The sequence below is a fragment of the Homo sapiens genome, chromosome 4 (genome assembly GCF_000001405.40).
Source record: "Homo sapiens chromosome 4, GRCh38.p14 Primary Assembly".
Lineage (NCBI taxonomy): Eukaryota > Metazoa > Chordata > Mammalia > Primates > Hominidae > Homo > Homo sapiens.
In genome coordinates this window covers 185,964,223-185,990,852 of record NC_000004.12, presented here as the reverse complement: position 1 = coordinate 185,990,852, position 26,630 = coordinate 185,964,223, and the positions used below count along the sequence as shown (strand labels likewise).

The 26,630-nt window shown below is 40.0% G+C and overlaps 2 long non-coding RNA genes across 2 annotated transcripts in view; one reads left to right on the top strand and one right to left on the bottom strand.

Annotated features, from left to right (window-relative positions):
• The window catches only part of LOC124900830 (uncharacterized), a 32,841-nt gene extending 32,113 nt beyond the window's left edge, over window positions 1–728 (top strand). Inside the window, exon 3 of the long non-coding RNA XR_007058420.1 lies at window positions 592–728. This is a non-coding gene — a long non-coding RNA (uncharacterized LOC124900830). The remainder of the gene's footprint in view (window positions 1–591) is intronic.
• A 17,850-nt stretch (window positions 729–18,578) lies between these two features.
• On the bottom strand, window positions 18,579–25,604 carry LOC124900828 (uncharacterized). Its single transcript, XR_007058417.1, has 2 exons — window positions 25,029–25,604; window positions 18,579–18,958 (listed from the first exon to the last, which is right to left on the bottom strand). It is a non-coding gene; the product is annotated as an uncharacterized LOC124900828 (long non-coding RNA).
• Window positions 25,605–26,630: the final 1,026 nt, after the last annotated feature.

The following is a 26,630-nucleotide window of genomic DNA, read 5'->3' as shown; positions in this document are numbered from 1 at the left end:
TTCCAAATATTCACAACATTATCTGTCTAGCCCTTTAAGGAAGTTGACTTTGGGGCCTCTGCTTTCATTGGGAGGGTGAGTAATACATTTATGTCTTATTTAAATGTACTCTGGGGTTCTTAGTTCCAACTCTACAGTTTCTTATTTTCTTACCCTTCTTTCCAGAGAAAAATATTTCACCTTTCCTTTCAGGAAGAAACAAATTCCATACCGCTTGCAAAAGAGTAGGAGATGAAGGATTAGAGACTGTTTTTTCTAAACTTCAAGAAGCATATTGATTGGAAGGAAGAAATACTGTAGAGGTCAAGGCTTAGAGATGTAGTTCATTAATGTATTTCTCCCATAACTGTTTATTGAGTTTTGACAAGGTGATAAGCAATATATCAGATATACACGGAAAAATCCTGTGAGACCATTCTTTGACGGCTAATTGTCCACACTTGTGATCTTAAGAACACTGGACTGGCGATCTTGAGGAACCTTGCCCAAGCTCCTCCCTCACTGCCTCAGTGACTTAAAAAGTAAGCCTTTGTTAAGCACGTGCTAAGTCAAGAACTTGAAATTCTGATTAAAATATTTTCTGTTTGATAGGCTAGGTGTGTTAGGAAGAGGAACAGAAGAGACCGGCACCTCAGGAAGCACATTCACTAACAGGCCCAGTGACATCTCAGTGACATCTTCTGCATGCCTTCCACCAATCAGCTTCCTCTTAATGTTGCAGAAGACTATTCCATGACCTAGAATTCTCAATGGCATGATATATTAAAGTTTAAACAATGATGTTACACATCGTGTAAACTATAATCTCAGTGAACACACAGAAAGGAAATATATCTAAATATTAATAATAGTTGGTTCCGACTGGTGGGATTGTAAGTGATTTTTATTATATTTGTCTTTTTATTTTGTATTTTCCTAAGTTTCCACCATGAACTTTTTTTTTTTGTCACAATGACCTCTTGCCTGGCATGGCTGTTTTTATTATTTCCCTGGAAGCCCAGGTGATCCTTTTAAAATGGAAGTCAGATCATGTCATTCCTCTGCTTAAAAATTCTCCAATGGCCCCTCATTTCACTCAGGATGAACGCCATGTCTTTATCTGGCTGTGACAGATTGGACATTTGCATACATCCTTATTTTCCCTTCTAAGCATATGGCCTCAAAGCGTAGACCACCAGCATGAGCATCACCTGTAGACTTGATAGAGATGCAAATTCCAAGGGCTCATCAAGGTGTACTGAACCCCAACAATGTGTCGACAAACCTTTTTGACTAGAGGTGATGGAGTCTGAGAATGTCTAATCTATGCTATTCCTCTGTATTGCTGGACCAGGAACCTGGGAACTACATTCCCCAGAATGACCATAAGCAAGGTTCTGGTTTTGATCTGGAAGGCAGAAGGAGATCAAAAGGCATTACATTTTCCTGGCTGCTAAGATGAATTGAGGTGTTTCCGGTGGCCTCAGGGCATTTTCTTGTGAAAGCGGCTGTGACTATTGGTGGTGGGTTCCTGTAGCTCCTAGCAAGGATGTCAGAGGCGATTTCATAAATCTCTAATGAACAGCAAACCTACAAGTGTTCCAGCACAGAAAATGGTTTTGAACATGCCCATTTTGCTGTAACAAGTCATTTTCCATTTTATTTATTTATTTGTTTTATTTATTTATTTATTTAGAGATGGACTTTCGCTCTTGTCACCCAGGCTGGAGTGCAATGGCATGATCTCGGCTCACTGCAACCTCTACCTCCCGGGTTCAAGTGATTCTCCTGCCTCAGCCTCCCCAGTAGCTGGGATTACAGGTGCCCACCACCACGCCCAGCTAATTTTTGTATTTTTAGTAAAGACGGGGTTTCACCATGTAGGCCAGGCTGGACTCGAGCTCCTGACCTCAAGTGATCCACCCGGCTCGGCCGCCCAAAGTGCTGGGATTACAGGCGTGAGCCACCGCGCCGGCCATTTTCCATTTTAAATAGTTCCTGTTCTTTCACAAATACTGACCTATGCAAGTGCTCTTGGTATGTTCTGTGCATTGCATTACATTTTACCATCACTTAACACCTGGCAGCTAATGTCAGTAGAAACTCCCAGTCATTCTGACAAACAAGGAAATCTCCCTACATTTTTAGACACCTCCTCCGGTTGCAGGACTGTTTCCAATCAGGTTCCTCTGCCCAGGCCTGTGGTAGTGTCACTGCCTAAAATAGTGAGTGGTCCTTAGTCAATACTTACTATGTGTTGAGTGAAATAATAAATAACAATCTGATAAAGGTTATTTTTGAAAAGCATATCAAGGGTGGAAGCTTATCTAAATCACATCCCACATTTGGAAAATCCAGCATGGTATGTTTTGCTCAGTCCCACAGGACCATCTCCTCACTTACAGCCTTCTAAAAATTCTTCAGGCAGTTACAATTTTCTGAGTCATGGGGAAAGCTTGTGAACTCCCTGTTCAACTACAGATAATCTGGAAATTATCCGGAAACATCACATGGCCCAAGGATACGGAGCTTACTTTTACCTGGGTCTCTTTCTCGGGACTCGGTAATTAACAGGATCAAGTGACATCAGTGAGGACAGGGTCCCCTAATCTGACAAGTGTTGACCCACCCATAAAACATGTTTTTTTCAAAAGTGCTGTTTGGTGTGCTGTGACTGGAACCTTGTGACGTGGGTCTATAGTATGTCTCACCCTGTCTCCTATGGGATTGCAAAAGCATGATTCTCAGGCCAAAAACTCAGCTGTATGAAAAATATTTCTCGATTTCCTTTATATGAACTTAATCCTGGATTTCAGCTCCCATTCCACTGTATTGGTGAGGAATGATTTTTCCAATGCTATTGGGATCCTTTCCAAGAATGCTCCAACATGTGCTGTTTTCATGACCCCTAGGAAATGAAATGAGGATCGATGTTACCGTGGTCACCACTGACCTTTTAAAAACCCCCTTAGATTTCTGCTTCCAAATCGCCAATAGAGCAGGGAATCTTCCTGAAACTGGGAATTTTGTTGTTGTTGTTCTTGTTGTGAGGGGTCTTGTTCTGTCACTCGGGCTGGAGTGCAGTACTGCAGTCATGATTCTTACTATAGCCGCAAACTTCTGGGCTCAAACAATCTTCCCACCTTGGCCTTCTGAGTAGCTAGGACTACATGTGTGCACCACCATGCCTAATTTTTTTTTAAATTCATGTATAGACAGGGTCTCACTATGTTGCCCAGGATGGTCTGGAACTCCTGGACTCAAGTAATTCTCCCGCCTTGGCCTCCCCAAGTGCTAGGAGTACAGGTGTGAGCCACCACGCCCAGCCTGAAGCTGGGAATCGGGAAGCTTTGAGTTTTACCCCTCACAGCCATCTGCTTAGATGTCTGATCTCTGCCCTCCCTCCACAGAGGGCTTTCACTGAGCAGTGTTCTCCCGCTCTTATGGGATATACCATTTTCCATACCTGTCTAAATCTAAGGAAATAGACCCTTCCCAAACTGGGTGATTGTGTTTTTTTTCTGATTAAAAATAGATCATATTCATTATAAAATATATTTTGTAAAAAAAAAATCAGACCTTTATAAATTTAAAATAGAGGCTATGAACTCAAATGCTTTTAGGGGCTACAGAGGTCAAATGTTAGGAAAATAGTGGAATTTAACACTAATGGGAGTAAAGTAATAATGGAGTTGCTTGTATAAGACAAACCCTCATGCTAATAACAATGATACAAAACACAATACAACCCAAAGAAGGCAGAAACTGTTCAGCAGAAGGTGCTTGAACGGAGCAAAGGACACTGAGTGACTTCTACATGTACCCAACTTTTCCCATATGGGAACTTTTCAGTTCACATGATGCATGAGGAAATCAAGTTCAAACTGAAAGAAGACATTTTTTGCTCAGGAAACAGAAACTGAAGTTCAGAGATGCCACAGTGGTTGAAAACCAAGGGGACAAATCTTAGAAGAAATCTTAGACACAAAGAGAGAGCTCTAAAATCAGCATAGAAAGTCCCTGCAAGTCTCTGGCTGGTTCCTAAATGACACTCAAGGAACCCAGCAGACATCAGCAATTGAGGGGCTAAAAAGATAAAATATTATGCAGCCATAAAAAGGAACGAGATTACGTCCTTTGCAGGGACATGGATGAAGCTGGAAGCCATTATCCCTAGCAAACTATCAGGAACAAAAAACCAAATACCACACACCACACGTTCTCACTTACAAGTGGGAGCTGAACAATGAGAACACAGGGACACAGGGAGGGGAACAACACACACTGGGGCCTGTCAGGGGAGGGCAGGGAGTGGGGAGAGCATCAGGAAAAATCGCTAATACATGCAGGGCTTAATACCTAGGTGTTGGGTTGACAGGTGCAGCCAACCACCATGGCACATGTTTACCTGTGTAACAAACCTGCACATCCTACACGTGTATCCCAGAACTTAAAATAAAATAAAATAACAAATAAAAAATACAAAAAAGAAAATACACAAACTAAAAGAAAAAAATATATATAAGCAGAGATTTCAGTAGCTACCTGGTTCTAGGAAGATAGTTCAGAGTTCAAATCTAGTCAAGAAGGAGGAGATTAGAAAACATTTTGGATTTTCCAATGAAACCCTAAGAGCCATGTTACCAGAATAAACTCATGATCCAAGACTCCAAGCCATGCCCCAAATCTAAGGGTAAACTCAAATAAGCCTCCATAACAAATTCCAAAATCAAGCCTCAATAGAATCAAGAACATCCACCAAATATTTAAATATTTGCCAGAGTGAAATGGAGTACTCTTTATGGGAAGATAATAGAATCTAGAGTTTGTACAATATGTCGTACATAATGTTCAGAATTCAATACACACTTACTAGTTATGCAAAGATGCAGGAAAATGTGACCTAGAACCAAGAGAAAAACAGGCAATAGAAATAGAGTTTCCATTACTCAGATTCTGGAATTAGCAAAGAAAGAATTTAAAAACAGCTAGTATATTTATGTTAAAAGATTAAACATTGGGTACACATCGACATTAAGATGGGAACAATAGACATTGGAGACTACAAGAAGCGGGAGGGAGGAAGGGAAGCAAGCACTGGAAAATTACCTGTTGGGTACTATGCTCATTACCTGGGTGATGGGCTCAATTGTACCCAAACCTCAGCACCATGCAATAGGCCCTTGTAATAATCCTATACTCTCTGAACCTAAAATAAAAGTTGCAGTTTAAAAAAATATTTTTTAAGGTTTTCAGGAAAAAATAGAATGTGTGAACAGATAAGGAATTCCAGCAGAAAATTAAAATTGTAAAATATAATGGAGGCTGGGCTCAGTGGCTCACTCCTGTAAACAGAACACTTTGGGAGGCTCAAGTGGGCAGATTACTTGAGCCCAGGAGTTCGAGACCAGCCTGGGCAACATTGCGAAACCCTGTCTCTACAAAAACAGAAAAAGGAAAGAAAGAAGGGAAGAAAGAAAAGAAAGAAAGAAAGAAAGAAAAAGAAAGAAAGAAAGAAAGAAAGAAGGAAGGAAGGAAGGAAGGAAGGAAGGAAGGAAAGAAAAAAAGAAAGAAAGAAAGAAAAGAAAGAAAGAAAGAAAGAAAGAAAGAAAGAAAGAAAGAAAGAAAGAAAGAAAGAAAGAAAAAGAAAGAAAGAAAGAAAAAACCAAAAATTAGCCAGGTATTGTGGTGTGTGCATATAGTCCCAGCTACTTAGGAGGCTGAGGGGGTAGGATTGCTTGAGCCTGGGAGACTGAGGCTGCAGTCAGCTGTGATCACACCACTGCATTCCAGCCTGGGTGACAAAGTGAGACCCCATCTCAATAAATAATAAATAAATAAATAACTATCTCATGTAATATTGTGATGGTAGTTAATAAGAATGTATTGTATATTTTAAAATTGCTTAAAAAGTAGATATTAAACATTTTTATGCCCACACACATAAAAAGATAACTATGTGAGGTGATGAATATGTTAAATTAGGTTAATTATAATCATTTTACACTGTATACAGATATGAAAACATCACATTATATACCATAAATATATAGAATTTTAATTTGTCAACTATATCTCAATAAAGCTGAAAAAGAAGAACTAAAATCTCTAGAACTAGAAAACAGAATATCTTAAATGAAAAGTTCTTTAGAGGATTTAAGAGCAGAATGAACACATAGATGAAAGGATGGATGAAATTGAAGATAGTTCAATAGAATTCACTCAAACTGAATCATGGAGAAATATAGAGAGAGAACAGAGTACCTAAGACCTGTTGACAAAAACATGTTGTCGAACACAGGAGTGAGTCAAATTTCTCAAAGGCATAAACCCATAGATCAAAAACAAAACAAAACAAAACAAAAAAAAAACTCAGCAAATCCCAGACAGGACAAAAACAATGAAGACTTCATCAAGGCATACCACAGTCAAATAGCCAAAATTCAAAGATAAAGGTGAGAAATCTTGTTTGTATGTTTGAGCCAGCGTTTCACTCTGTCACCCAGGCTGGAGTGCAGTGGTGCAATCTTGGCTAACTGCAGCCTCCACTTCACAGGCACAAACAATTCTACTGCCTCAGCCTCCTGAGTAGCTGGGATTACAGGAATCCACCACCACACCCGGCCAAGGTGAGAAATCCTAAAAGTACCCAGAGAAGAAAAGAGATGTTACACTCAGAGAAACAATAAGAATTGTGGCTGACTTCTCATTAATAAAGAAATGGACAGTAGAAAACAATTAAATAACTTCAAAGTATTGAAAAAAAATATGTCAACCTAGAATTCTAAGTCCTGTGAGATTGTCCTTTAAAAATGAATGTAAAAAAGAGCCATTTTCAGGCCAGGTTCCATGGCTCATGTATGTAATCCCAGAACTTTGGGAGCCCGAGGCTGGCAGATCGCTTTGAGCCCAGGAGTTCAAGACCAGCCTGGCCAACATGGTGAAACTTTGTCTCTACTAAAAATACAAAAACTAGCTGGATGTGGTGGTGTGCATCTGTGGTCCCAGCTGCTTAGGAAGCTAAAGTGGGAGGATGGCTTAAGCCTGGGAGGCACAGGTTGTAGTGAGCTGAGATCATGCCACTGCACTTCAGCCTGGGTAGCAGAGCCAGACCCTATCTCAAAAAAAAAAAAACAAAAAAAAAAACACACACACACACATACACGAAACAAACAAACAAGAAAACCCCTACCATTTCCAGAAAACAAAGGTGAAGAGAATTTATCACCAGCAGTTTTACACTACACAAAATACTAAAGAATGCACTTCAGGCTGAGGAAGATGGTCAGAGGTGGATGTGAAAACATGAATCTGCAAAAAAAAAAAAAAAAAGGAAGAGCACCAGATTTGGTAAATATGTGGGCAAATACAAAATACTTTTCCTTAATCTTTTTAAGAAAGTCAAGTGATTGTTTAAAGTAAAATAATAAAATTGTACTGCAGAATTTATAAGACAGAAGTGAAATATATGACAATAATAGTAAAAAGTGTTGGAGGTAGAAAATTGTTACAGAAAATTGAATTATACTGTTACAAAGTTCTTAACATGAAATCGTAAAATATTAATTTCAGTAAACTATGATAAGGTTAGGGTCCATATTATGATCCCTAGAGAACTTTAACTTTAGCTTTTTTCCAAACCTATTCACTTAGAGTAGATTTGGTTGTATCTGTTTTATAAGCCAGAGTTTCTGGAAGATTTCATTTGAAGAAAGCAGTCTTTTGCTAAGAAAAGGCTTGAAACCACACCTCTGAGTGGAAAAATACCTTTTCTTCCCTTTAAATTCACTCGTGTAATGACTGTATTTATCGATGAAAATCATGAAAATCAATTTATGCACACACTGTTTCATTCTAAAAATATTTTGAAGCAGCTCATTTATTTCTACTTGCAATTTCAGTTATCTGAATTAATCTGCTCTACTAAATTAGAAACACATGAATGACAGGTATCTTCCATGCTGAATAAGACAATGAAATGCAACCTCTGGAAACCCAGTGAAGAATTTCAGATTCATAAACTCAGATTTTAGACTTGAATGCTTTGATTTCAGGTCACTATACACATTTTGATCATATAACATTATTTTTATTAAAAACAATATTGGGCCGGGCGCGGTGACTCATGCATGTAATCCTAGCGCTTTGGGAGGCCTAGGCGGGCAGATCACGAAGTCAGGAGATCGAGACCATACTGGCCAACATGGTGAAACCTCGTCTGTATTAAAATACAAAAAATTAGCTGGGCATGGTGGCAGGCGCCTGTAATCCCAGCTACTCGGGAGGCTGAGGCAGGGGAATCACTTGAACCTGGGAGGCGGAAATTGCAGTCAGCAGAAATCGCGCCACTGCACTCCAGCATGGCAACAGAGTGACACTCCGTCTCAGATAATGATGTTGATGATTATGATAATAATAATAATATGTTAATACGTACATAGGAAATACCAGATATAAAAAACAGTTAACATTGCTTATGTCTTGCGGGTAGGATTATGGAGATTTTTGCTTTATTATCCGTGGTGCATCACTGTATGAGTTTGAAAATATTATTTTTGAAAACCTTAAGAATTTGAATTAGGTAGATATTCACTCCTCGGTTCTCCAGGGAACAGTAGACAGGGAGAATCTTTAAGAGGCTTTTGTGCTCCTTGTCCCTTTGTATTTCCCAATATATACTTTATAATGAAATAAAAACATCAGCCGAATTAAATGTAAAGGAGTTTAATTGAGCAATGAATGATTTGTGAATCGGGCAGCCTTCAGAGCCAGAGTAGGCTCTGTGACCCCAGCGCAGCCACATATGTGGTAGAAGAAGATTTATGGACAAAAAATGGCAAGTGATGTACAGAAAACGCAAGTGAGGTGAAGAAACAGCTAGATGAATTACCGGTTGGCATTTGCCTTATTGGAACATAGTTGGAACATTTGGCTGTATTTGATTGGCCAAAACTCGGTGATTGGCACAAGTGTAGGCTGTGGTCTGTTTACACCTCCACCTGTTTTAGTTCATGATGTACAGAAAAACCTTTAGGCTGAATTTAAAATACATAAGGAGGCAGCTTTAGGCTAAACTTGATTTAACACATATTATTTTACTTTGAAGCACTTTTTGAGTTATTTTTATATGCAATAAAATGCTCAAATTTCAAGTGTACAGTCTGATGAGTTTTGACAATTTTATAAACCCGTGTAACCAACCACCAAAACCAAGACATTGAACATTTCCATTATCCATGAAAGGACTTTCATGCCTCTTTCTAGTAAATTCTCCTCTCCACAAGGCAAACATTGTTCTAATTTGTATCACTAAGAATTAATTTTAAGTTTATGAACTTAAAATTAAGTTTAAGTTCTTAAACTTCATATAAATAGAATTACATAGGTTGCCCTCTTGTGTATGGCTTCTCTAATTCAACGTAATAGTTTTGAGACTCATCCATACTGTTACATATATCAATAATACGTATCTTCTTTATTGCTAAGTAGCATTCCATTGTAAGAAATACCACAAACTGATTATCCATTTTCCTGTTGATATACCTTTGGGTTAATTCCAGAAGTTTGAGGCTGCAGTGAGCTGTGATTGCACCACTGCACTCCAGCCTGAGTGACAGAGTGAGATCCTGTCTCTAAAGAAAAAAAAAAAAGGAGTCTTACATTTTTATTAAATTTAATGTATTAACTTTGTCCTTTTGTAATTAGTGATTTTATTTCTCTACTTACCCCAAGGGATAAAATTTTCTTCTAGAAAATTTATAGTTTTAGTTTCTATAATTAGGAATATGATAAATTTCAACTGACTTATTGTGAATGCTGGGAAGTAGTGGTTAATATTTTCTCACATTTTTCTGCCGAGACCAGCTTGGTAGGGGAGACCCTAACCCAGCGGTGCTAGAGGAATTAAAGACACACACACAGAAATATAGAGGTGTGAAGCGGGAAATCAGGGGTCTCACAGCCTTCAGAGCTGAGAGCCCCGAACAGAGATTTACCCACGTATTTATTAACAGCAAGCCAGTCATTAGCATTGTTTCTATAGATATTCGATTAACTAAAAGTATCCTTTATGGGAAACAAAGGGATGGGCCGAATTAAAGGAATAGGTTGGGCTAGTTACCTGCAGCAGGAGCATGTCCATAAGGGACAGATCACTCATGCTATTATTTGTGGCTTACGAATGCTTTTAAGCGGTTTTCCGCCCTGGGCGGGCCAGGTGTTTCTTGCCCTCATTCCCATAAACCCACAACCTTCCAGCTTAGGCATTAGGGGCCATTATGAACATGTTACAGTGCTGCAGACATTTTGTTTATGGCCAGTTTTGGGGGGCCTGCTCCCAACATTTTTCCAGTTGTTCCAGCAATAGTTATTCAAAGAATTTTACTTCCCCATTGAGTTGCAGTGGGGCTGGTGTTGGAATTGACTGTACATGTATGTGTACATTTCTGGACCTTTTATTCTTGTCCATTGAAAAATTTGTTTATCTTTATCACAACACTGCACTATCTTAATTTTGTAGCATTGTAGTAAGTCTTGAAATAAAACACTATTATTTTTTTCAATTTTCTCTTTTTAAAAATCATCTTGTCTATACCAGTTCTTCTAATTTCCATATAAATTTTAGAATTAGTTTGTCAAATTTTACAAAAATCTGTTGGGGTTTTTGTTGTAATTGCCTCAAAGATGTAGATAATGTTGGGAATAATGAATATTTTCACAATATTTAGAGCTCCAAATCATAAACATCGTACATCTCTCCATTTATTTAGATGTCTAATTTCTCTTAGCAATGTTTCGTAGTGTTTAGTATAGAGGTTTTGCACATCTTTCATTGAATTTATTTCTATGTAATAGATGTTTTAAGGTGTTGTTGTAGATGGTCTTTCTGTCTTCCTTCCTTCCTTCCTTCCTTCCTTCCTTTCTTTCTTTCTTTTCTTTTTTTTTTTTGATGGAGTTTCGCTCTTGTTGCCCAGGCTGGAGTGCAATGGTGTGATCTCGGCTCACCACAACATCTGCCTCCTGGATTCTCCTGCCTCAGCCTCCCGAATAGCTGGGATTACAGGCATGCGCCACCATGCCTGGCTAATTTTGTATTTTTTAGTAGAGACGGGGTTTCACCATGTTGGTCAGGCTGGTCTCGAACTCCCAACCTCAGGTGATCCACCCACCTCAGCCTCCCAAAGTGCTGGGATTATTATTTTATTTTCTAGTTATTTATTGCTAATGCAAGATTGACACTTGCAGACTGCTATGACCTTGCTAAGTTCACTTACTGCTTCTAGTAGCTTGTAGAACACACTAGACTTTCTACGTATCCAAACCATGGAGAGTCTTCACATAGACAATGTTGCACCTTTCTTGTTTTTCAGTCTTTATGACTTTTCCTTGCTTTCTTCTTTCTCTTTATTTTTTGTTTCTTTTTTTCCTTGCTGCACTGTTTAGGATCCTAGAACATGTTAAATCGAAGTTGTTAAAGTATCCTTGCCTTGTTTCTGATGTTGAGGGGGTGGTAAAGATAGAGCATTCAATATCTTATAAAATATTATGTTAGAGGTAAGTTTTTCAGGTCAGGCATGGTGGCTCATGCCTGTAATCCCAGCACTTTGGGAGGCCGAGGCGGGTGGATCACCTGAGGTCAGGAGTTCAAGGCCAGTCAGGCCAACATGGTGAAACCCCATCTCTACTAAAAATACAAAAAATTAGCCAAAAATGGTGGTGCACGCCTGTAATCCCAGCTACTCAGGAGGCTGAGGTGGGAGAATCGCTTGAACCCAGGAGGTGGAGGTTCCAGTGAGCCAAGATCATGCCATTGCACTCCAGCCTGGAGCCTGGATGACAGAGTGAGACTCTGTTCCAAAAAACACAAAAGAACAAAAAAAAAAAGGTAAGTTTTTCATAGGTGTCCTTTTCTAAATTTAAGAAATTCTCTTCTATTCCTAGTTTATTGTTGTTTTTAATCCGGATTAAGGGGTAAATTTTGTCAAATGCCTTATCTGTATATTGAGATGATCATATGATTTATTTATTCTATTAATGTGGTAAATTATATAAATTAATTTTGAAATATTAAATCCTGGTATAAACCCTACTTGGCCTGATGTACTATTATTGTTAAATATTACTGGATTTTATTTGCTAACATGATATTGAGGATTTTTATATCTGTGTTCTCAGAAATAGTTATCTGTAATTTTTTTGTTATACCATCCTTGATGTTTTGGTCTCAGGATTATGTTGGTCTCATTAAGGTAGTTTGTGCTTCCTCTTATTTTATTTATAAAATAGTTTGTTGAATTTTGATATTTTTCTTCCTTAAATGTTTTATAGAATGGACTAGTGAAGATATTTAGGCTTGACATTTCTTTTGGGATATTTTGGTTTCTTTAACGAATACAGTGCTATTCAGAATTTCTGTTTTCTTGTATAAATTTCAGGAAAAAATAATTGAATTCATTGAATTTATTGATGTAAACTTGTTCTAATATGCTTTAATATCATTTAATGTCTGAAGAATCTATAGTTATATCTCCTCTTCCATTCCTATAGTGGCAATTTGTTTCTCAGCTAGTCTTGCTAGAAGTGCATCACTTTTATTAATCTTTTTAAATAACAAAGTTCAACTTGGTTGATTTTTGCTTTTTTAATCTGTTTTATAGTATTGACTTATGATTTTATATTATTTCCTTCCTTTTACTTTTATTGGGCTTAATATTTTTTTCTTGTCTAGCTTGTTTTATCTTGATAGCTTAGTTCACTGATCTTTTTCTTTCTGTTTTTGAGACAGAATTTTGCTCTGTCACCCAGGCTGGTGTGCAGTGGTGCGATCTTGACTCACTGCAACCTCCACTCCCCTGGTTCAAGCGATTCTCCTGCCTGAGCCTCCTGGGTTGCTGGGACTACAGGTGCCCGCCACCACACTCAGCTAATTTTTTTTTTTTGTATTTTTCATAGAGATGGGATTTCACCATGTTGGCCAGGATAGTCTCAATCTCCTGACTTCATGATCCACCTGCCTCAGCCTCCCAAAGTGCTGGGATTACAGGTGTGCGCCATCACGCCTGGCCCTGATCTTTTTCTTAATGTAAACTTTAATGCTACACATTTCCCTCTTAGCACTGTTTTTGCTGCATCTCACACATTTTGATATGCTTTGTTTTAATTACAATTTAGTTCAAAATATTTTCTAATTTCCCTTGGGATTTTTTTTCTTTTCACCCGTGGGTTATGTAGAAGCATGTAGTTTAATTTTCAAGTATTTAAGAATTTTTCTAGTTATAATTTTACTATTGATTTTAACTTAATTCTCTTGTGGTTTAAAAATACTCTATATAATTTTAGTCTTTCAAAATGTATTGAAACTTATTTTATGACTCAGCATTTGTCAATCTTAGTCAATGTTACTTGTACATTTGAAATTAATATATATTTGCAGCAATTTGTTGTAATAGTCTATAAATATCAATTAGGTCGAGGGGTTGATAAAGTTGCTGAATTCTTCTCTATGTTGCTAACTTTTTTGGTTTACTTCTGTGAATTTTTAATATATGGCTGTAAAAATTTCCCACTATGATTGTAAAGTTTTCTAATTTTCCATTTAGCTCTGCCAATTTTTGTTACTGTATTTTGAAGTTCTACTCCTCATTGCAAATAAATCTAGGATGTTTATGTAATGAATTGACCCTTGTCAACATGTGGTTATAAGTGTATCTTTTTTCAAATACCTCTTGTCAGAAAGCCTACTTTGATAATATAGTCACATTGTGTTACTTGTGATTAGTGTTTGTATGGTATATTCTTTTCCATTCTTTTATTTATTTTTTTTTTTTTGAGACGGAGTCTCCTCGCTCTTTCGCCCAGGTTGGAGTGCAGTGGCACGATCTCAGATCACTGCAACCTCTGCCTCCCGGGTTCAAGCGATTCTCTTGCCTCAACCGTCCAAGTAGCTGGGATTACAGGCGCCCGCCACTATGCCCAGCTAATTTTTGTATTTTTAGTAAAGGCAGGGTTTCACCATGTTTTCCAGGCTGTTCTCAAACTCCTGACCTCGTGATCCGCCCGCCTCAGCCTCCCAAAGTGCTGGGATTACAGGCGTGAGCCACCGCACCTGGCCTCTTTTCCATTCTTTTACTTTCAACCTATTTGTGTCTTTATAGTTAAAGTATTATCCTATTGAATTCATCTTACTTTTCTATCTGACAATTTCTAACATTTAATTAAGAGTATTTAGTACCTTTTTACCCAATGTAATTGTTGATATAGTTGGGTTTGCTAACAATTGTTTTCTACTTATTCCATAACTCCCATCTCTCCTTGGTCTCATTTTTCCTGCCTTCTTTTAGATTAATTGAATTATAAGAATTACATATTATTATTTCTATCGGTCTTTGAAATTGACATTCTAATTTTCCATTTATAGTAGGTGCTCTAAGGATCATAATATGGACCCTAACCTTATCATAGCTTACTGAAATGCATATTTTACTATTTCATGTTAAGAACCTTATAACAGTATAATTCAATTTTCTATAACAATTTTTACTGCCAAGACTTTTTACTATTATTGTCATATATTTCATTTCTTTTTTTTTTTTTTTTTTTTTTTTTTTTGAGATGGAGTCTCACACGGTCACCCAGGCTGGAGTGCCAGTGACACGATCTCAGCTCACTGCTCACTTCTGTCTTATAAACTCTGCAGTACAATTTTATTATTTTACTTTAAACAATCACTTGAGTTTCTTAAAAAGATTAAGAAAAAGTATTTTGTATTTGCCCACATATTTACCAACTCTGGTGCTCTTCCTTTTTTTTTTTTTTTTTTTTTTTTTTTTTTGCAGATTCATGTTTTCTCATCCACCTCTGACCATCTTCCTCAGCCTGAAGTGCATTCTTTAATATTTTGTGTAGTGTAAAACTGCTAGTGATAAATTCTCTTTATCTTTGTTTTCTGGAAATGGCTTTTTTTTTTTTTTTTGAGACATGGTCTGGCTCTGCCACCCAGGCTGGAGTGCAGTGGCATGATCTCAGCTCACTGCAACCTCTGCCTCCCAGGCTTAAGCCATCCTCCCACCTCTGCTTCCTGAGTAGCTGGGAACAGAGGCTGGAGTTTGTCAAGGCTCAGTCCTCATCTCCTCCATGCCACCCCGGTGCCTAGATTCCTTAGAACTTGCAGGGCTCCAATGAAGGGTTTGAAAACCAGCCAAAGAAAGGATAAGAGTTTTCTCTAATTATTGATCATTTTCCTTTTCTATTATGTCCCTTTTGTATCATTCATGTCTCTCTTCTTTTCCAAAAACTCAACAATAAAGAAAGAAAGAGTTTTGCCTGGTGTGATGGCTCACCCCTATAATCCCAGCACTTTGGGAGGTCAAGGCAGGAGAATTGCTTGAGCCCAGGAGTTCAAAATTAGGCTGGACAACATGGTGAAACCCCATCTATACAAAAAAACTTTTAAGATTAGCTGGGCATGTGGTGTGCACCTGTAGTCCCAGCTACTTGGGAGGCTAAGGCAGGAGGATCCCTTGAGCCGAGGAGTTTGAGGCTGTGGTGAGCTGTGATTATGCCACTGCATTCCAGCCTAGACCACAGAACGAGACCCTGTCTCAAAAACAAACAAAAAACAAAAAACAAAAAAAAAAGAGAAAGAAATAGTTGTTAAATTTTGCTGCATTTGTTCATATAATCAGAAGGATGGTTTAAAGATTAAAATGAATTTACAATCAATAGAGTATCATTGAATTAAATAACTGTATTGCTTTTCAAATTTCAAAATTTGCTGGCCTTTAGTTTTAAACTTAATCATCAGCTCCATTGTTTACATCAGAGATTGGTTGGGTTTTGGTCTTAACCAGCTTTCTTCTGGAATGTACATCCTACTGAATTGTCCTTAATTCTTTCTCGGCTCTCAATCCTTGACTTTGCCTTCCTTAAGCTACTTGCAAATCTCACTTTAATCTACCCTTTTATCCTTAGCCAAAATAAAAGGAGGTAGAAGGAAGGTGCTTCGAATAAAATGCATTCTGTTCAGTTTCTTCCTTTGTTTCTCCATCTTCCTTTCTTTCACTTGAGGCCAAGTATTCACAAGAGGTAGCTACGATTTAAGTGTGTCTGAAGGTGATGGAGACAGCAGTGCTGGGGCTCAGAAAACAAAGTGAAGGCTGCAGAAGCAGCCTCAAGCCAAGTCTCTCTCTTTCTTCTGGCCTCTTGTCCCTTGGCCCTCATTCTCCCACAAGGCAAGCCATAGAAATGAGAAGCTCTCTACTTCCAGGTGGGTCATAGAAACCAGACTCCTGGCCGGGCACAGTGGCTCATGTCTGTAATCCCAGTACTCTGGAAGGCCGAAGCGGGAGGATTATGAGGTCAGGAGTTCGTGACCAGCCTGGCAAGCATGGTGAAACCCCATCTCTACTAAAAGATACAAAAAATTAGCTGGATATGGTGGTGCCCGCCTGTAATCTCAGCTGCTTGGGAGGCTGGGGCAGGAGAATCATTTGAACCTGGGAGGCGGAGGTTGCAGTGAGGAGATCACGCCATTGCACTCCAGCCAGGGTGACAGGGCGAGACTCTGTCTCAAATGATGATAATAATAATAATAATAAAATAAATAAATAAAAGAAACCAGACTCCCACTTCCCCAAAGCCAACAATAAAGCCTAAAATCACTACTTTCAGCCTCCCCTGCCTTTCTGTGTGAGAGCTGCCGTAAAGAACTTCTCTGACCCACGTTGTTTAATTGTGGGTCGTAAGATCCCCATTCCAGGGGGACCCTACCCCACACCCAGGAGGAAGGAAGCTGCACAGAGAGGCCAAGAAGAGTCCGAACAGGCCTTGCTGGGTTTCCACACTCAGCCCCGGTACTACTAGAACATTCCCTTTTTGTCCGTTCCCATTTCTACACGGCCGTCCCTGCTTTATCAAACCTTAGCATGAGATCAGATAGTCTCTCCTGTACCTTAGGGTCTCCATTCCCAAGGCCCCCATGCCACGTAAAACAATGATCAGACAAATTTGTTATGCTTGTCTCTTGTTAGCCTGTTGTTTGTTATAGGAGGGTTGGTCATGATGCTTATGATGGGGAGAAAAGGGATCACCCTCTTTCCACCCCTGTAGTTCTGGTGACCCAAATAGGGTGACCAAGACACCTGACTTGCTCTGGAGCCTCCAGATGAGGTCCTGGGACAACTGACAGAAAAATAGCAATCAAAGGCCGGGCACAGTGGCTCATACCTGTAATCCCAGCACTTTGGGAGGCCGAGGCAGGTGGATCACAAGGTCAGGAGATCGAGACCATCCTGGCTAACACGGTGAAACCCCGTCTCTACTAAAAATACAAAAAATTAGACGGGCGTGGTGGCGGGCGCCTGTAGTCCCAGCTACTCGGGAGGCTGAGGCAAGAGAATGGCGCGAACCCGGGAGGCCGAGCTTGCAGTGAGCCGAGATGGCGCCACTGCACTCCAGCCTGGGCGACAGCGAGACTCCGTCTCAAAAAAAAAAAAAAAAAAAAAAAAAAATTAAACAGCTCTATGATCAAAATGGCTAAATGTATTTATTATTATTATTTTTTGAGACAGGGTTTTGCTTTGTTGCCCAGATTGGTCTCAAACTCCTGGGTTCAAGCAATCCTCCTGCCTTGGCATCCCAAAGTGCTGGGATTACAGGCATGAGCAACTGCACCCGGCCAAGAGTTGGCTGAATTAAAAGCCTATATTCAGGCTATAATTTTTTTTAAAGCTTTTCTGCTTTTTCTCTTTTGAATTCTGTTTCTCTTATGAGAATTTTTTCAGTAGCTGAAAGCCCCTATTTTTCTCAAGCCTCTGCTAATGATAAGCTCCTCTTTAGAAGACTTAAAATCTCCCTAAGTCGGCTCCTCTAAGACCTGATCTTTCCATTTGCGTCTGCTCCTTTCGCCACATTTGCTCTTCCAGCTAGTTCCCAGTAATCTTACCTCCTCCATTTGGTGGTCAATGGATAAAAAATTACTAAGGGAAACAGTTTTGGGTACTGCATACAGGGATATAAAGGAGACGTGCAACAACCCTGAGACCCTTGAAGGAACAATGGGGATCCCCCTCTTCCTGATGGAGCCCCAGGAGTCATGGGTGGGTTTCTCTCAGGGCTGAAGCTCTACTCTCTTTCCAATTAAGCTCCCTGATCTCTTTGGCTTTCATTTTTTATTTTATTTTTATTTTTTGAGACGGAGTCTTGCTCTGTCACCCAGGCTGGAGTGCAGTGACATGATCTCAGCCCATTACAACCTCCGCCTCCTGGGTTCATGCAATTCTCCTGCCTCAGCCTCCCGAGTAGCTGGGATTACAGGTGCGTGCCACCACACCCAACTGATTTTTGTATTTTTAGTAGAGATGGGGTTTCACCATGTTGGCCAGACTGGTCTCGAACCCCTGACCTCAAGTGATCCGTCTGCCTCGGCCTCCCAAAGTGCTAGGATTACAGGTGTGAGCCACCGCGCCTAGCTCTCTTTGGCTTTTAGGCACACCAAGGGTCACCGTGAGAGGATACTTGGCCTTTGAGTGCAAAGTAACGAACACTGGCAAGAGATGACATTTTTAAGGAAATAGCAGTTGCAATAAGTGGTTATTACTAGAAAGAGCAAACTCTGGCTTTTTATTGTCTTCATTTCGTTGTGTGCACAGGTAGGGGAAGCCTCAAGTATCTCACCGGGTCGGACAGAAACCAACAGTAAGTGGCAATTTCTTACAGAAAAAAAGCATTGGTTAAGTTGGTCAGGGGGGCTCTCAGAGCCAAAGCCATAACTGGCTGACAGGCGTGGTTCAAGCACTTAGAGGTTACTGGAGCACTGGTCACCAGGAAGTCGAAGCTCCATGGGGTGGGGGCTGGGGGCCACTCCTGGAGCGGCTGGTTAGGTGAGGCAGCATCCTGGGGGGCATCCTTGCAGCAGGATGCACTGGGAGGGCATTGAGCAGCTCAGCCCCATGGCGTTGCCCTCTCGGACTTTTTCTTGGGTCTGGAAGACACATGATTCAGTGTAAAAAAGGAATCCTTAATTTCTAAAGATCTGAGTACTCCGCCTTCCAGCTACACCTGCTTTTACATGCATAAATTTTAAACCCCAGAAGCTGCAAGTACTTTGTTGGCCCTATTCCTCAATGGGCTCTCCACCCAGAGCTGGGTCATCCAGTTAAAAAAAAGAAGATATGTTGAAAAGCTACCTATTTAACTAGATTGTTTTCCAAAGTACGAGTTTCAGGCATTCAACTGATTATTTTGAACAGATTTCTGAACTTCTTCCTAAGCTCATCTGGGTATTTCCTTGTAAAATACTGTAGTGAATTCCTGTAATTTTATGCAGCCTGGATATCTGTTTTTGAATCCTTCTCCATGGCTCTTCTAACTGAAGCACCTGAACCTAATTCTTCTCCTCATCAGGGATCTCCTAGAGAGTGGCTACCTTGATAAACCTGTCTGGCCAGGGGTAGGGATTACAGCTACTTTTCAGAGAGAAACTTCAAGACCAAATTAGAGAAAAATGCAACAAACCCAGTTGTAGCAAAAATGGATATTTAGTCCACTCAGATGAGCTTTAAAAACATTCACACCTAAAACCCAGTCTGTAGCCTCCATAAAATTGATCTATGATAATAGGCATGATGCCCCTAAAGCTTTTTTGTTTTGCTTTGTTTTTGAAACAGAGTCTCACTCTGTTGCCTGGGCTGGAGTGCAGTGGTGAGATCTCAGCTCACTGCAACCTCCATCTCCTGGGTTCAAGAGATTCTCCTGCCTCAGCCTCCTGAGTAGCTGGGATTACAGGCCCACACCACCATACCCAGCTAATTTTTGTATTTTTAGGAGAGATGGGTTTTCATCATGTTGGCCAGGCTGGTCTCAAACTCCTGACCTCAAATGATTCACCCATCTCAGTCTCCCAAAGTGCTAGGATTACAGGTGTGAGCCACTGCACCTGGCCCCTAAAGCTCTTTTTCAAAGATAAAATTAAAACTAACTCAAATACTTCATATAATAGTATCAAGTGCTAGATAGTTCATGTGATCTGAGTTTCTATACAGTTAATAAAAATCGTTATTGGTAAATAAAGTTAGTTTTAAACTTGTTGGTAAAATAAAAACAGGAATATCTTCAGAATTATCAGCATTGGTTATAGTACTGATAGGGACAGAAGGCAGGGAAATTCTAGGCAGAAGAGGGCAGGTCCTGGTGAGGGCCCCACCCTCAAACCAAAAAGCCTAGAACCACAGCCCAAAGTGAGAACTTCCATCCCTGTTTTCCTGCTCAAATGTTCCTTTTCCAAAACCACCCATGGCTCGCCCCACCCCGTGTCGTGTGCCCATAAAAACCCCAGAACTCAGCCGGCAGAGAGAAGAAGCAGCTAGACGTTGGAGACTACAGTTGGACATTGGAGAGAAGTGGCTTGACTTCAGAGGAACAGCTTGATGGTGTAAGTTCAGAGAAGAATCTGGCCAGAGACAGTTGAACTTTGAGGGAAGATTACCTTCCCACCCCGTCCCCTTTTCAGCTCCCCTTCCCACTGAGAGCCACCTCTATCAGCAGTAAAATCCCCCACATTTACCATCCTTCAATTTGTTCCTGCAACCTCATGTCCTGGACACCAGACAAGAACTCGGGAACTACAAGTGCAGATGCGAAAGGCTGTCACACTGGCCCTTCACCCTCACTGGTGGAAGGCAGCCACCTCATGCGAAAAGGCATGGGGTCCACTGAGCTGTTAACACTTAAGCCATCCACGGACAGCAGAACTAAAGGAGCACTGTAACACTCCCTCTGGGGCTTCAGGGGTTGCGGGCACCTCCCTAGACACTGCCGTGGGGCCAGCACAGAGTTGGCTCCTGCTGGCACCCAAAAGCACTCACGCCAGCTCCTGCACCCATTCACCTGTGCACCCCCTCCTGCAAGGGTGGAAATGCAGTGGGTCCAAGTGAATGGAGTTCACTCCTGCAGGTGCTGGAGCAGCTGGGTGACTCCAGTGCTTCTGTACTCCAGTTCCCACCACATTCACTTGTGCAATCCCTCCTGTGAGCAGCTGAGAGCTGTGGGCTGAGTAAACAGGGCATCCCCTTTGTGGGGCCTGTGAAGGGGTCAGGGAAATATCCTGCTTCAGTACAAACATATATATATATTTTTAATACCTAGAGCTACTAGTCAAACAAGACTGTTATCACCTAGGTATTTAAAGGAGGGTGGGGGGAACCATGTTTAACTTTTAACTTTTATTCTCCGCTTCCGTACTATTTTTGATATTTGCTTGGTTTGTCTGTGGACTGAACTGTGTGGGCTGGGTGCTGGCTCCCCTGAAACCTTATACACATGCTGCTGCAAGCTTATGTCTTCAGTTTTGAGCTTCTGAATTCTGGGATCTGGACTGGTGGCCATGGTAAAGCCTGAGCGTGCATGTGTATCCCAGCACCTGGGCTGGCAGCTGCAGGGCAGGGTCTAGCCGAGTATAGGCCCATCCTGTGGCCAGTGTCACAGAGGCCTCGATGGAAACAAAGCTGGCTGTTGCAGGGCTAGCTTGGTCTTGCTTTTTCAAAAATAACTTCTATGGTTAGCTTTGTTTTCCGTGAGCAATTCAAATATAATTGTTAAGAATGAGTAAATTAGGTAAATGGAATAAACATTTCTAAATAAACTTGTCCTAGGTTCAAAGATTTTTAAAAATAATTTAAAATCTGAAAGTTGTGTTATATTAAGTTAAATAATAGATCATCATGAAACGTCTGAGTCATTTCTAAATAAGTTAAGGTACTGAAAGATTAATTAATAAGCATAAGTTCCAGTTTATATACTTTGGCATTTTGTTTTTATAGGTTATTTTAAAAAGCAAAATGTATTTGGATTTGTTAATAAACATACGAAGATTCTAAAAAACTAATGTTTCTAATAATTTTAAAATGTGTATTTATAAATTACTAGTGCAAACAGTCAAAATTGCTTACTTCTAGGTTTTCAGTAAAAATTAAGGCTACTAAGAGTTAAAATTACAATTAATACATTTAATGAAAACTACCAAAAATAAGAAGACCAATTTTATACGCAAAATATACAAGCAAAACAAGAGGTATTTCTGATGAAAAAAGTTACAAAAAATGAAAAATATGTGTTTTGTTTAGAAAAGTAATTTTATCTAGTTTAGAGTACGTTTAAAGATCATTTCAGAATAGTTTTTTAATGTTGTATATTATATTAATTAGATAAAATAGTTGAAAATATAACAGAGGAGCTTATGTGGTTAAACTAAGAATAAATAAATGTATTATAAGAGAAGAGATAATAAAGGATTTTTGTTTCCCTTTTGAATAAACTACAAAAGAAAAAAGAAGAGAAAGAAAAAATATTCCATGTGCATCACACTGTGTTTATTAGATCTTTTGTTTAAATAAGTGGTTATTTTTCTCATAATGATCTGTGATGGCAACCTTTATTTTGGCAACTTTCCCCAAATCAAAATTAAGTCTTTTTGACCTCAAAGTAACTTTTAGACATTATAGGAGGGCCCCTGGAAATCCAAGAAAGACATTAAATTAGACTTACTTGATATGTTAAATTATATGACAAACATTGTCAAATAAGAAATGATGTTTAACCTTCTTTGAGGTTATATTTGTGTGAATATGTTATTGACATATGTGTTCCAAAATTGTAAGAGATTCCTAGAAATCCTAGAAATTATGTTTTAGTATATGTTATCAGTCATAACGCTAATGTTAAAATGTTGTGTGCCACAGAGAGGACCAAATTTTCTTGACAGTTGCATCATTATTATTGTGAATTCCTATCATATCTTTAACCATAGCCATTTTACATCTTACTGTCCACAGTTAATTGCTTTATTTTGATGTTTTTTTCTGAAAGCTCTTTGCAAGTGATTAGAGTCCTAAAATGTTGTGTCTTCAAGGAAATATATGGAAAGAACAAAAATAATTCTAACTCTGAGTTCATACCATTGGACTGAGTTTCCATAACTCGAATGGAAAAACTGGACTCAAGAAAATCCTAACTTACATTGGCAGAACAAGAATTAATTACATGGGACTGAACTCACAAAGGATTATGACTTTTTAGTGACTTTTTGTTTGAAACATATTTTTTATGTTTTTATCTGCATTGTTAAGGAAACTCTTCTATGCTATCTATAGCTTGCAGCAATTTGCTAACGTATATTTTTATGAGCAAAATTGAAACATTTACCTTTGTCCCTACCTGATCCCTCCAAAATTTGGCAACTGCGAGTATTCTAGTTTTAAGGCAAAACAGTTGTTTGTGTAAGTACAGTCCTGAGGTGCGTCCTTGGCTTGGCTCCTGAGACCTGAGAGGCTTTTAGAAAGTCCAGTCTGAGGTTCCTTATGAAAAAGTTCCCCACAAAGCCAATTTAAAAAGTGCCTATATGGTTGATCACTATTCTTGCTATACTTATGTAAAAAATCATAAAGACTAAAGACTAAACTTTTCTTATGAACAAATTAGTCTTGTTTTAATGACTTTTTGTTTGAAACATATTTTTTATGTTTTTTGATAGGTGGACTAGAGAAATAAAAATTATATTTCAGAAGACAACTCTAGTGCACCTGTTATTAGACTCTACCTCATTGTTTTTGAGGGTTTACTATCTACCTACAATCTGGACCAGATCTTGAATTATTTTAGTTTCCTGCAATATTTGACTATGACTCACCAAAGTAGTATTTGTAATTTTTCTCCACCCTTCCAGCTTGGAATCACTGAAATGAAAACTGCACTTTCCTGAAACCCTGCAGACTAAAACTGGATGGTCTGATATAGCCTTTGGAGAAATCACCACAGCAGTTTTATGTAGAAATAAACTTTCTGCCTATTACTATATGGGCCACTTAGAAAGCTCACCGGATGCAAACTGCGAACCGGAAAAATCCCAGATTGCCACTGTCTGCTCTCACTCCATATGAAGATGCTTCAAGTCTAACATCTGAAAATCTTGACTGGCTGCCCTCTAGACCCAAAGGTTTGTTTTCTTTTCTTTCCCTAGAAATGCCCTTTGCTACGTACATGACTGTTCACACTATTTGGGGCCTGACTTCGGTGGAAGCCAGTCTGCAACACTGCTGCTGAAATGAGACACAACTGTCAACTGATTAGCTGAAAGGCCTCTTCTCAGGACTGAGAGCCTGGGAACAGCCTGGGAGACAATCCACCAACCCGATCCGTGGACTGTCAAACTACCTATGGGGGCCGGGCGTGGTGGCTCAAACCTGTAATCCCAGCACTTTGGGAGGCCGAGGTGGGTGAATCACCTGAGGTTAGGAGTTCAAGACCAGCCTGGCCAACATGGTGAAACCCCGTCTCTACTAAAAATACAAAAATAAGCCCAGTGTGGTGGTGGGTGCCTGTCATCCCAGCTACTCGGGAGGCTGAGGCAGGAGAATCGCTTGAACCAGGGAGGCAGAGGTTGCAGTGAGCCGAGATCGCCCCACTGCACTCCAGCCTGGCGACAGAGTGAGACTCTGTCTCAAAACAAATGAACAAACAAACAAAAAAACTACTGGGGGGAAGTTTCAGACTGAAGAATGTTGAGGCTCAGAAAAATGATGCTTCAAAGTGAAGACGGCAGAAGCAGCCTCAGAAGCGAAGTTTCCCTGTGACCTTCTCTCACCCTCCTGTCTCTCAGCCCCATTCTCCCCTGAGGCCAGTCGCAGGAACTAGAATCTCTCTGCCCCAACGAGTGTCACAGAAACCAGAGTTCCTTTTCCCCAAAGCCAACGTGTAGCCTAAAGGCACTTTCACTTTTGGCTGTTTTTCTGTGTAAGAATTGGCCAGAAAAAATTTTCTGACCTATCTTATTTAATGGTAGGTAATAGGCCCCCCATTACAGAAAGGGTCCTGCCGGATACCTGCGAGGAAGGAAAGCTACACAGAGAGGCTGAGCAAGATCTGAACAGACAGGCCTCACCGAGTGTCCCTAGTTAGCCTGTTACCATTACATCATTTCCTTCTGTCCGGTCACATTTCTGCATGACTGTCCCTGCTCCCTGAAACCTGGGCACACAATCAGAGAGTTTCCCCGGTACCTTTGGGTCTTCATTCCGAAGGCTCCTGTGTATTGTAAAGCTGTGGTCGAATATATTTGTTGGGCTTTTCTCTTGTTAATCTGTCTTTGTTTCAGAGGTGTCCGTTTTGACCCCTATGACAGGGAGGAAACGGATCACTCCTTTTCTGCTGCTACAACAGGAAGTGTTGTGTCTCAGAAACCTGAACTCCAACATATGGCCCTTTGACATGCTGGATTGAAGAAGCGATCCCAAGGTCTCTCTGACCTACCCCTCACCCCCATTTCTCAATGTTTTGTCTCTCCCAAGGAACAGAATGAAGTTGTTCTCTGAGGATCCTTTATCTTCCTAGAAACCAGACTGGCCAAAAGAACACAACTGCCTTCCCTGAGTTTCATTAACTGCACTCATATCACAGGAAGAAAGACCGAAGTCCATCAACACCCCTGGGTACACTTTTGTCACAAACAATTGCCTGATCTCCAGTCACAACACGTTTTGTCCCAGGCCATCGTATGTTCTCCAAGTCCATTCATTTTCCCCTAAAAATCATTCACTGTTCCACAAATCGCCACATTTGTTGTATGAAGAGGGGTGTCTAAGCGTCTGTACCCCACTGGGTAATCATTCTGCAATTCCCCAGTGCTATACAAGTTAAAATAGAAATGTGTGTGTGCCTTTTCTCCTATTAATTTGCCTTTTATTTTGTTTTGAGACTGAGTCTTGCTCTGTCGCCCAGGCTGGAGTGCAATGGCACAATCTCGGCTCACTGAAACCTCAGCCTCCCAGGTTCAAGCGATTCTCCTGCCTCAGCCTCCTGAGTAGCTGGGATTACAGGCGTGTGCCACCACGCCCAGCTAATTTTTATATTTTTAGTAGAGATGGGGTTTCACCATGTTGTCCAGGCTGGTCTTGAACTCTTGATCTGATGTGATCCACCCGCCTCGGCCTCCCAAAGTGCTGGGATTACAGAGGTGAGCCACTGCGTCCGGCTTAATCTTCTTTTTGTCTGTTCATTTTCAGTGACCCTTCAGAGGGCAAAGAGAAAGTTGTCCTGTGGCCCCTCCAGAAGTTGGGTTGAGGATAATTTATTTTTATCAGAGACTTTTATCACATTTTATAACATGGTTTAGTGTAAAAACATCTGTGCTCCTCATGAATTACTTGTAGAGATATAAGTGTTTTATTTCCTCCTACCTATTGCCCAGAAGAGCTAATGTGAATGAAGCAATTTATCAGAAACGTCCTTATTTTTATCTGAACTCTGGTCTAATGGATGCTTTCATGTGAATAAGCATCAGAAGTCTCCATTTTCATGAAAATAAATGAATGAAGTAGGTCAAGGTGGTAAATCTAGACCAATAAGTTTAGCTGTTAAGGCACTTCCAAAACAAGGCATTTCAGCTCTAGTAAGCAGACACCAGCCCACTGCATTGTGTTTGAGATCTGAAGCTGAATATGGCTTTGAAGTGAAAAGACAAAGGCAATGACAGACTCAAAAGAATGAAACTACAGTAGACAGTGAGAAATTGTGCTAAGGAAAGGGGCTCCCTTTTTATCGCATTGGTTAATTCTCAAAACTGTCTTTTATATCCCTGTTTTTGGAATTGGAATTGGCAGTTA